Genomic DNA, 12,605 nt, shown 5'->3' with positions numbered 1-12,605 from the left:
TGGGCACAGTGGCTCATGCCTGTAATCCCAGCACTTTGGGAGGCAGAGGCAGGCAGATCACCTGAGGTCAGGAGTTCTAGACCAGCCTGACTAACGTGGTGAAACCCTGTCTCTACTAAAAATACAAAAATTAGCTGGGCGTGGTGGCAGGCACCTATAATCCCAGCTACTTGGAAGGCTCAGGCAGGAGAATCGCTTGAACCCGGGAGGCGGAGGTTGCAGTGAGCTGAGATGGCACCATTGTACTCCAGTCTGGGCGACAGAGTAAGACGTCATCTCAGAAAAACAAAAACAAAAACAAAAACAAAAAAACAGAAAAAAACTTCGTGTTGACCGGAATGACCAGATTAGGAAAGGGTGATCATGTGACACATACTTTACTTCGCTTCCCAAGGCTTCCACCCATGCCATGCCTGGACAGTCGTGTGTAGTTTTGCCCTCCTTTTGTTATTCTGCCAAGTGTTTCTTAAATAGTGAAGTCTACCAGGCCCTTTCCCTTTCCCTGGCTGCAGATCTGTGTGCTCGTGCACACATGTGCTTGTGTCTCTGTGGACTACAGGAAGAAAGTTTTAGCGGATCTTAGAAACCTGCTGTGGTGCCCCCAAAAGAGCACTGGATACAAAATAAAAGAAACATTTGTGATTCTAGACAATTTGCTTAACTTTTTTTCGTCAAGACAGGCTCGCACTTTATAGTACATGCTGGAGTGCAGTGATGACGTCCTAGCTCACCGCAGCCTCCAACTTCTGAACTCAAGCAATCCTCCCACCTCAGTCTCTTGAGTTGGTGGGACCACCGGTGTGTGCCACCAGGCCCTGCGCCACCAAACCCTGCTACGTTTTAAATATTTTGTAGAGATGGGGTTTTGCTATGTTGCCGGGCTGGTCTTGAACTGCTGGCCTCAAGCAATCCTCCCACCTTGGCCTCTAGTGCTGGGATCATTGGAGTAAGCCACCACTCCCAGCCTGCTTAACTTTCTTGAGTTTAAGTTTGGTCAGCTTGAAATTCAGTTTGAAACTTGAGTTTTAGTTATGTAGTGAAAGCAGAAAATAACCTGCTCACAGTGACATTTTGAGGATTAAGATAGTGCAGGTGAACGCATTTCTAAGCTTTGAAATGTTAACCAACATAACACATTATTTTGCATTATTATTTTCTAAAATAATCTACATTTACATTGAAAAGTATAAAGTCCTGTGGATATGTTGAGTGGAACTACATGAATTTAGAACAGATCCGGGCAGGGAGTAGAAGACTACTGCTCTGGCAAAACCGGAGTATGCAATTCCAGTCAGTCACATACAGTCAGTCTATATAATAATGATAGTACAAATAATACATCCATCTCCTGTCATCTTCCTAACAACCATACAAGCCCAGTCCTATGTACCCATTTTGCACATGAGGCTCAGTAAGGCTATGGGACTTCCATAGAGCTCCAGAGCTGCAGACCTGAACCACGGCAAAGCTGCACGCCTCTTTCCCGCTCTCTCTCTACTCCAGGCTGTCATAACTTCACCAAACGGAATGAAGACTTGACTTCAATTTCAACCTTAAACCTAATTTAAATAAAAATGTCTGAAGGGAGAAAGAGAGGAAAGAGGGAAAATAAGAAGTTAGGGAACCAAGAAAAAAATGAAAAAACCCAGGAGGTCGGGGAGGGATGGGATGGGAAAGGAAACCAGGAGGGAAAGGGAAGAGAAGGAAGTCTTGCACATTATAATCAATTTAAGAAACATTCTGTGTTCTCAGAGATATTATAAAAACAAATGTTAATTTTAGTGGTTCTCGGAAATTAAAAAAAATAAAATGTCAAATCAAGCCTTTAGTATTCATTTACACAGTTACCATTTGATAAGACCTACACTTTATAAAAATCTGGAAAGAGAGATGCAAAGTAGTTTTTATTTTAATTTTTTAAAATTTTCCACATGATGTATTTATCTCTAAAATGTTAATTAGAGCTTTATGGCTTTGAAAAGTGTTTTGGAAAGCTTTCCTATGAAATGTGAATATATAATCCACTCAGTTTACCACGCTGCTCTTCCCTGGAGAGAACCATACAGCTAGCACCTTGTGGGCAAGAACATATGAGAACATGATGGATACCATGCGGCATATTACTGGGTGAATATTAGGACATAAATACACAGGAGCATAAAGCCTGTGTAGCTGCCACTTCCTCTCTAATAATGCATAAATAGAGCATGGTTACAATTACTTTTTATGTCTAGGATACAATTATAAAAAGTCTACATCAAAACAGAAAAGTTATCCTGTGAAGATTACACTTGATATTTTTATGTCGTGAATGTCTTATATTTGAAGAACACTTTATGTCTTTTAGAAACGTCTTATTAAATTACCACTTAAAAAGCAATCAATCTGCTAATCAGAAATTGTTTTAACTCCACAGAGGGAGAAATCTCAGTACCTTGATGAAATGGTTGACCTAGTTTGCTCTTCTTTAATTAAATAAATGATTATCATTGTACTTACTACTGCTAAACTCAAACACCTAATTAATACAGCTTGAAAGCAAATTAATAGAAATGTACAATAATTTCACATATACACATTGACTAAAAGTCATGCCATATCAATAATTGCATTCAAAAGTTTTTGAATGTTAGTTAATTTGAACAGTAGGAAATCAATTAGCCTGAGATTTCCCACAATTTATATAAATGAATTAAGAAAAAATACTTCAAAACAATGCCAGTAAAAACAAAAATACATTTTAAAGTTATCTTTAATTTCTCTAGGTTATGTAATAAATAACATTAATATTCCCATTCTTAATAACAAATTAAAATATGAGGAAAATAACTCCATAAGTTTAAAAATAGTGTTCAATTGTCAGTCACACTCAATTTCTTTGCTCACATAACTATTCTAATAGAATCCTACAATGTAATATTTTAATCAATAAACAAATTATTAAAAATAAAATATTCCCCCCCAAAGGATATATGTATATACACACATGTATGTGTGTGTATATATATGTATGTATATATATATAATGATATTATTTTGTAAAAGCTAAAGGTGAGCAGTAATGGGTTTATATATAACAAGAGAAAGCACCCATAAGACTTTATTCAAAGTGGCTTCCCATGAAAACAATTAGGAAACAGAACTCATTCTTGAGTTTCAACTGTTGTAAAATAACTCAGAAATTTGTTTCCTCAACACTCACTGCAAACTAATTTGAGTCTTAAATATCTGTAATGAAAACAAAAACCAAACTTTTAAATTACTAAATTTATGGGCATAAGTGTTAAAATGTATGAGGAGTAAGAGGGTGCTAGACACTAGTTAATTAATAGTCATTTTTCCTCTATACAGGATAGTATTAAATCATAACCAGAAATGGAAAGTTATGCCAGACACTAAAGTACACAAATTATATGGCTCAGAAACACTTGGAATGTCAACAGAAGTTAATAGGATCCTTAAGAAAGTTAAGAATATTTTGCCAGGTGTGGTGGCTCACACCTATAATCCAAGCACTTTGGGAGGCTAAGGTGGGAGGATCACCTGAGCCCAGGAACTCAAGATCAACCTGGGCAACATAGTGAGACCCTATCTCTTAAAAAAAAAAATGGCAGAGAATGGTGGCACACACCCTAGTCCTAGCTCTCTGAAGCTGAGGCAGAAGCATCACTAGAGCCTGTGAGGTTGAGGCTGCAATGAGCCATGATTGTGACACTGCACTACAGCCTGAGTGACACAGCAATCTTCTGTCTCAAAAAATATATACATATTTTCTCTTAAATTTTACCTAACCTTTGATTTGTCTAGAACTGTGGACTAATTGTATTTCTCCAAACTCATATGTGGAAGCCCCCATCCCTAATGCAACTGTATTTGGAGATAGAGCCTATAAGGAAGTGATTTAGGTTAAATGAAATCATAAGGGTGGGATCCTAAGCCTACAAGATTGCTCCAGAGAGTGCCCTCTCCCTGCTCCTCCCTGCCTCTTCCTCCTTCCCATTTTCCCTGCCTCCTGCTGTCCGCCCTGCAAGGACACAGCAGTGGGAAGGCACCCTGCACCTTCAGTCAACCTGCACCTTGACCTTGGACCCTCAGAATCCAGATGCCTCCACGACTGTGAGAAATGCATTTCTGTTGTCCAAGCCACCCAGACTGTGGTGTTTTGTCATGGCAGCTTGAGCAGATGAATACACCTGCTAAAATTTAAAAGTGTTTCAGATGTTTTGTTTATCTGCTTTAGTTACTTGAAATAACAAAAATTAATAAAGTTAAAATTAAATTTTAAGAAGAAGATCTTTAGAAAACCTGGCTAAAATATCTATAAAATATTAAAAATTAGATACACTGAAGAAAGCTATTTTCAAGGATGCAAGTTATTCTGCCACTTATAAAACAGAAATATACAAAATCATTTATTTCTGTGGCCATAATAAAATACATTAATTGCCATAACTCCAAGCTCATTCCCCTCTCCCCCTTCAAATCCAAAATTACCTCCCATAACTTAGGCACCAGACAAGTACACATATGCACACACACACACGCAACATAAACACACAGACACGTACAGATACACATGCAATGCATGACCACAGTTACTTTTAAGAATAAATGATTCAGTGACTGGTTTGCCCTTCTTGTTCATAAATATTTGGGTCATTGAAATAAACCAAGAAAACACAGAATACATAAAAATCAAAATAATGACAAATGACTCAACTGGAAATATTCAAGAACTAATGCGCTGGCTGAGCTTATATTCCTGGTTATAAGTCAAAACCAAAATTCAAATTGTAAAGCACAATAGCAATTATGTTTGTTGATCAGCAGAATGCACTAATTGTTTATGAAAACTGCAAGCAAAATATTAATCTATGCATTAATTGTCTTTGAATGCAAATTAGTGCGCATTTGTTTTTGAAATATGTTGGATTTTATAATACATTACTTGATATGAAAAAGTACTGGTAGACACACAGTGAAAGCATGATTACCTGCTCGGGTTTGGTGGAACCGCTCATCATGGGGTTTTCAGGGATGCTGTCCTGAGACTGCTGCTTACACAGACCTTTTGTTGCATCTTTGAACATAATGTCTTTTTCCAACAAACTGTCTTGCTTGGCAATTGGTAACACCAGGGGACTGCTACAGGAAAAAAAATCAATACTACAATTAGTCTCTTTCTAATGTTTTATCAATCGAAAATTACCAATACAGGATAGTTGGACTATGACGGTGGTTTTATTCAGATAAGAAATATTTCTTATAAACTGCAGGAAAAAAATTAGTAAGAAATCTGTAAACTTTTAAAAAATTAATTCCAAACTTTATTCAACTTTAATTTTAAAAGAAAAAAGTATATACTTATTTGAACTCCAGAAGAAAATGTTTACACATGTATATCTGACTATAATAGATGAATCAATAAACAACTTAAGAGCTGGGATTGAAATGCATGGCTGAACTAGACAAGATTTAACATGTAAATGCAAAAATGGATTGCAAACAACTGAATAAAGGCATAATTGTATAATTAGTTTAAAAATTACTCATTTAGGATTTAAAATACAAAATCATGGGCAAAACTTCAAGTTTGCGATGGAATAATAATATGAGAATTAAAAATAATAATATCTTTAAGGACTGCAATATTACAAGCAGAGTAACTTTTGTTAATTCTATACAGCTCAAACAAAGCCAAAAAATAAAAGATACTTAACTTTTTATTTTTCTATTGACTTTATTCCCAAAATACAGCCATTATTTTTATAATGTTCATTAAAAATAAATAGAAAATAAATGATAAATGTTGCATTGTATCACTAAGATTTAAAAATGTGCCTCCTAAATTGTTACCTTATAAGCAGAAATGCACGTGTATTTAATCAAGTGCAATCTATGTAAACATAATTATTTCATGTAGTCTACCATAGTCACTGGGATTCTAATAAGAGCTAAGTGCAATTTTTTTTTTGCCTCTTTTAAACTTCTATTTGTTTGAGGTCTAGTTTACATACAGTAAAATTCACCCTTTGTTGTTTAGTTCAGTGAGATTGGACTGATATACATAGTTGCATAGGCAAAATAACCAGCAATGTATAGAATACTTTATCACCTCCAAGAGACCCTTTGTGCTCCTTGGAGTCAATTATTATTAGATGTGTTAGTGGCTTCTCACACTGTGATTTTTATTTGAATTTCATTTTCTTATTTTAAAATACTTATTAAATAAAAATGGAATATATTTAAGGTGTATAATGTGATTAGATATACATTTTGTAAAGGCAACTACAATTCTATTAATTAACATGTCACACTAGATCTCCAAAATTTGCTCATCTTATGACTCCAAGTGTGTGCTCTGTGACTGACACCTTCCCTTGCTCCCACTCTCCAATAACTGGCAGCCACGGTTCTACTCTCTGCTTCTGTGATTTTCAGGTTTTTAAGAGTCCACACATAAGCAAGATCATGTAATATTTGTCGGTCTGTGTCTGGCTTACTTCACTTGGCCTAATGTCTTCCATGTTGATCCACTGCAAATGATAGAATTTCTTTTTATTTTTTGGTAGCTGAATAATATTCTGTAGATATGTACCACAATTTCTTTACCCTTTCATCTGTTCGTGGGCCTTAGATTGTTTCCATTATTACTATCGTGAATAATGCTGAAATGAACATGGGACAGTACATACCTCTTTGAGATCTTGATTTCATTTCTTTTGAATAAAATATCCAGAATTGTAATACTGGATCATGTGGTAGTTCTATTTTTTAATTTTTTGAGGAAACTCCATACTTGTTTCCGTAGCAACTATACCACTTTGCATCCCCACAAACAGTGTTCAAGGGGTCCCTTTTCTACACACCCTCACCAACACTAGTTATCTCTTGTCTTTTTGATAATTGTCTTCCTTACAGGTGTGAGGTGGTATTTTGTTGTGCTTTAAATTTAAATTTCTCTGATGTTGAGTACCTTTTCATATACCTGTTGGACAAAATTGTATATCTTCTTTGGAAAAATGTCTGTTCAGGTTCTTTGCTCATATTAAAAACTTAGAGGTTTTTTTTTACAGTGAGCTGTGTGAGTTCATTACATACTTTAGATATTTACCCCTTATCATATATATTTGCACATACATATGCACATATATGTATATATACCTAAGTATATGGTTTGCAATTATTTTCTCCCATTCAACATGCTACTTTTTCATTTTGTTGATTTTATTGTTTTCTTTGCTGTGCAGAAGCCTTATAGTCTGATGTAACTGACTTATTTTTTCTTTTGTCATCTGTGCTTTTTTCTTCTGGTGTCATATCCATAAAACTCACTGCCACAAAAGTTGTTGAGGAGCTTCTTGATTTTTTTTGAGGTTTATGGTTTTTATATTTAAGTCTTTCATCCATTTTGACTTAATTTTTCTACATGGTGTAAGAAAAGGGTCCAATTTCATTCTTTTGTATGTGAATATCCAGTTTTCCTAGTACCAATTATTAAAGTAACTTTCTTTTCCCTATTGGGTCTTGGCAGTCCTGTCAAAGATCAGTTGACAATATATGCTTGGGTTTATTTCTGCACTTTCCATTCTGTTCCAATGGTCTATGTGTCTGTTTTATTGCCACTATCATACTATTTTGATTACTATAGCTTTGTAATATAGTTTGAAATCAGGGGATGTGATGCTTTCAACTTTGCTCCTTCTGAAATAAATAGCTTTTGCTATTTAGAGTTTTTGTAGTTCCATACAAAGTTTCTCTTCTTTGGTAAAATGTGGGCTCAAATCTTTTGACTATTTATATTGGTTTCTTTGTTTTCAGATTATTGACTTTATATATTCTGTATCCAACTCATTTATCAGATAAGCTCTTGGCAAATATTCTCTCCCACTCAGCATCTTTGTAGTTTTATTTGCATAATTGTGTTTCAAAGAAAAAAATTCTCTTACAGTTTGTGCTTCTGTGACTTATCTAAGTTCCTTTCATAACCCAATGTTACCAAAAATTTCTCCTGGGTTTTACTCTAGGATTTGTACAATTTTAAGCTTTACACTTTGACCTACGATCCATTGTGAGTTGCTTTTTGTATACAGTGCTGTATATGAGTTGAAGTACATTATTTTCTCATATGGATGTCCAAATGTTTCAGCATTGTTTTTTAAAAAATGACTTTCACTTTCATTTAGCGGGACATATTTGTGAAAAATCAATTGACCATATCTGTGTGGGTTTACTTTGGGACTCTCTAGTGTGTTTCATTGATATAATCATTCATTATCATTCATTGATGTAATCATTCATTCTTAAATCAACACTACACTGTCTTGATTCATGTATCTCCTCATTTAGCCTTGAAACCAGTCATGTGAGTCATCCAACTTTGTTTTCACTTTGAAAATTATCTGGCAATTAGAGATCTTTAGCATTTTCATATACATTTTGAATTTGTTTGTGAATTTTTACAAAAATACCTGTTGTGATTTTGATTAGCATTGCATTCAATTGATAAATCAGTTTGGTGAGGATTGAAATACTGACAATCTCAACTTGTGTCATGCATGAAAACAAGTACCTTTATTTTGATCTTTGTCAATTTCCTTCATCAATATGTTTTAGCTTTCAGAATGAAAATCTTCCAAATAATTTTTAGATTTATTCTGTTTTATGGTTTTAAGAATGTATTTTAAAATGCCGAGGCTGACTGTAGAAGGATTGCTTAAGTCTAGGAGACTGAGACCAGCCTGGGCAACATAGTGAGCCCCTTCTCTACAAAAAGTAAAAAGTTAGCCAGCTGTGGTGGTGCATGCCTGTAGTCCCAGCTACTCAGGAGGCTGAGGTGGGAGGATCACTTGGGCCTATGAGGTCGAGGCTGCAGTGAACTGTGATTGCATCAGTATGCTCCAGCCTGAGTGACAGAGTGATACCTGGTCTCAAAAAATAATGAAACAAATGAATAAATAAGAATAAAATTCCAATTTCCATTTATTGAATTTTAGTATATAAATACACAAATGATTTTGTATATTAACCTTGACATAGCAAGAAGAGAGTAAATTGAAGGGTTGCTTTCAGTAACCACCACAGTCTCACCACTTTGCAGCCCATCTCTATGCCCTGCCTTCCAACTGAACCATAGAACCTAGGAAAGCATGAATAAAAAAAGAGACTACCAAATAGGTCAGGCCTGATGGAAAGTCGGGAATATTAAGAAATAAATTTACAGAAATGCAAGGTGAGTTTTCCTTAGTTTGAACTCTGGATAATGATGTTTTATAGTGTTTTAGCCAATGAAAATACTTGCAAGTAGGTGAGGGGACAGAGGATCATATATTAACATGAGATAGCATGGTACAGTACAGATGTATGGGCATGCATTTTCAAGTCAGTAAAACTACCATGTTTGATGTCTGGTTCTACCAGTTTGGGTGAGTTATGTAGCCATTCTGCAAAACCAAATTGCAAAAGGACTATAGTGAAGGATTAATAACATAATGCACATAAAGAGATTAGCATCATGACTATGGCCATAAGCAGGGAATAAATCAGCTGCTGTTTTTATGTGTCTAGAACTGTCATGCTTCTGAGATTTCACCCTATTTACAATCTAATAAGTTAGCTTGTTACTATTCCATGGTTAGTTGCAGAAGACAAGAGTTCCCTGGAGGAGAGATAAAAGACTTTATTACTCATGGAAGACACAGAGCTTTATGTTTATATCAGTTCTCCTTTATCTTCTGTTCCATGTAGTGAGGAGGAGGAAGTAGGAAGAACACAAAACAGTTGGATCTTAATGGATGCCAACACTAGAGAAAGTGCTGTTACAGGAGAGAAAGCCAGCTAGATATCAAGTATCTTTTGAGCAAGCAACAAACATTGTATCAAGGAGCAAATAAGTCAGTCCCCTCTTTTTGGGAGTGAATGATATGATTCTTTAAATTTACTCAGTTGTCTATGTAGCTATCTACATATGCCTTGCAGTCTGACAAACTGAGCAAGAATGTGAAGGATGCTCATGGACCAAGGTAGACTGTTCTTCTCAATAGTATAGTTATTAATTGAAAAAAAAATTACTATGAAAAGAAAAGGCTTATAATGCTCATAAAAATTTCATAGCCAGATCTGCTTGATACTGCTGTGATTTGAATATTTGTCCCCAGTGTGGCAGTATTGAGAGGTGGAACTTTTAGGAGGCGATTAGGTAATGAGGCCTTTGCCCCCATGAATAAGTTAATCCATTCATGGATTAATAGATTATTGGGTTAATGGATTAATGGGAGTGGGACTGATGGCTTTATAAGAAGAGGAAGAGAGGCATGAGCTAGCACTCTGAGCCCCTCATCATGAGATATGCTGTGCCACCTCAGGACTCTGCAGAGTCCCCTCAGCAAGGAGGCACTCATGAGATGTCATCCCTCAACCTTGGACTTCTCAGCCTCCAGAACCATAAGAAATACCTTTCATTTCTTATAAATTATCCAGTTTTAGGTATCCTGTTATAGGTAACAAAAAATGAACTAAGACAAATACCATCAAATGATAAAATATTACTTCCAAAGAGACCTTCTTCCTTCCACAAGCACCACTGGGACAATGCCTGTCTGCTGTAACTTCATTCATCATTCATAGAGTTCCCAAGAATATGTTCTACGCTTCTTTGAAATAAAACCCCTTCACGTATTTTAAAATAGTTGTTATGGTGTGTGTGTGTGTGTGTGTGCATTTGTGTGTGTGTGTATATATATATAGTGTATATATATAGTGTGCGTGTATATGTATAGTGTGTGTGTGTGTGTGTGTATATATATATATTTTTTTTTTTTTTGAGACAGTCTCACTCTGTCACCCAGGCTGGAGTGCAGTGGTGTGATCTTGGCTCACTGCAACCTCTGCCTCCCAGGTTCAAGTGATTCTCCTGCCTCAGCCTCCTGAATAGCTGGGACTACAGGCATGAACCACCATGCCAAGCTTTTTTTTTTTTTTTAATTTTTACTAGAGACAGGGTTTCATTATGAAATTCTGAGGCCAGGCTGGTCTCAAACTCCTGTCCTCAAGTGATCCACCTGCCTTGGCCTCCCAAAGTGCTGGGATTACAGGCGTAAGCCACCGTTCATGGCCTTTCCCTATTTTTTTTATAATTTGAGTGAACTATCTGCAAAATGTTATATTAATTATATGACATTTAACATGTGATAGTCTTCTGTTCTAAACACGCTGCATGTATTAAATTTTTTTTTCATTTTCACAACAACATTATAAAGTGTTCATTATTTTATAATGTCTGTTTGTTTTATGAATGAGTAAACTGAGGGCACAGAGGAGAAGAACTTGCTCTGGACACACAGCAGGTGCTACTGGAGCTGAGGTTTGAATCTGTCAGTTCTAAGCTCCAGAACCTGTGTGCTTACCCATGTGCCACACTGTCTACATCTACTCTCATATAAAAATATTTTCTGTATTTTTCTTCATCTATCAATCATATTTTTTTCTTCTTTATCAGAGAGTTTTATAAACTAAAGACAGGGTTTGCATATACCAAATTTTTTGAGTCTAGGGTGATTAATAAAAGAGTAGATTGGTCAAGCTACGAACAAAGAAGATAGTTTATGAAGTACAAAAAAAATCACCAAGTAGAAAGATTTCTTTAGAATAAATACTTTTCTTTAGAAGAAGTACTGAGTTTAGTAAAATAGTTGAAATATTCCTTTCATATCTCAAATCTAAGTGCAGTATCACTGGCAGACTCCATGAGAGCTATAGTTGGAAAAAAGATTGGCTTAAGACTATGGAGACATCATTTTAAATCAGATTTAAATCAGATTTTACCTCAAGTTGGTTCAAGTTGGCTACCACCTGAACCTTTAAGCCCTTTGAAATCTCTGGGTCACAGTTTCACCTTTGCAAAATGCAAGAGTTAAACTAGGTAATATCTAAGTATGTATCAAGCCCTACAGTTTTGTATTCTTAATAAATCATCTCTCATAGAACTTTTCACCTGCATCTCAAAAATAAGTCACTAACTCACTCAATTATATCATAGCTTATATAAGATATACCACTAACAATAATCGCAAATAAATAGTCACAAAGACTCTCTGTATTAGTCCATTTGCATGCTGCTATAAGGACACACTTGAGACTGAGTATTTATAAAGGAAAGAGGTTTAATTCACTCACAGTTCCACATGGCTGGGGAGGCCTCAGGAAACTTACAATCATGGCAGAAGGCACCTCTTCACAGGGTGGCAGGAGGAAGAACAAGTGCCAACAGGGGAAAAGCCAGATGCTTATAAAACCAGCAGATCTCATGAGCACTCCACTCACTATCATGAGAACAGCATGGGGGAAACCACCCTGATCATTCAATTACCTCCCACTGGATCCCTCCCACCACACGTGGGGATTATGGGAACTACAATTCAAGATGATGTTTGGGTGGTGACACAGGTAAACCATATCATTTCACCCCGGCCCCTCCCAAATCTCATGTTCTCACATTTCAAACATCATGCCTTTTCAACAGTCCCCCAAAGTCTTAACTCATTCCAGCATTAACGCAAAAGTCCAAGTCCAAAGTCTCATCTGAGTCAAGGTAAGTCCCCACCATC

At 36.0% G+C, this 12,605-nt stretch overlaps 1 protein-coding gene across 5 annotated transcripts in view; it reads right to left on the bottom strand.

Moving 5' to 3' along the window:
• Nucleotides 1-12,605, bottom strand: part of MYO16 (myosin XVI) — a 712,290-nt gene that overhangs the window by 358,518 nt on the left and 341,167 nt on the right. For 3 of the 5 annotated variants that reach the window (XM_011521062.2, NM_015011.3, NM_001198950.3), the window contains exon 10: nt 4,995-5,145. In XM_011521062.2, coding sequence (XP_011519364.1) covers nt 4,995-5,145 — 151 coding nt within the window. The remainder of the gene's footprint in view (nt 1-4,994; nt 5,146-12,605) is intronic. The other 2 variants (XM_047430183.1, XM_047430182.1) reach the window with 1 other exon arrangement.

Source organism: Homo sapiens, chromosome 13 (genome assembly GCF_000001405.40).
Source record: "Homo sapiens chromosome 13, GRCh38.p14 Primary Assembly".
In the NCBI taxonomy this organism is placed as follows: domain Eukaryota; kingdom Metazoa; phylum Chordata; class Mammalia; order Primates; family Hominidae; genus Homo; species Homo sapiens.
This window is presented reverse-complemented; position numbering and strand designations above follow the sequence as displayed.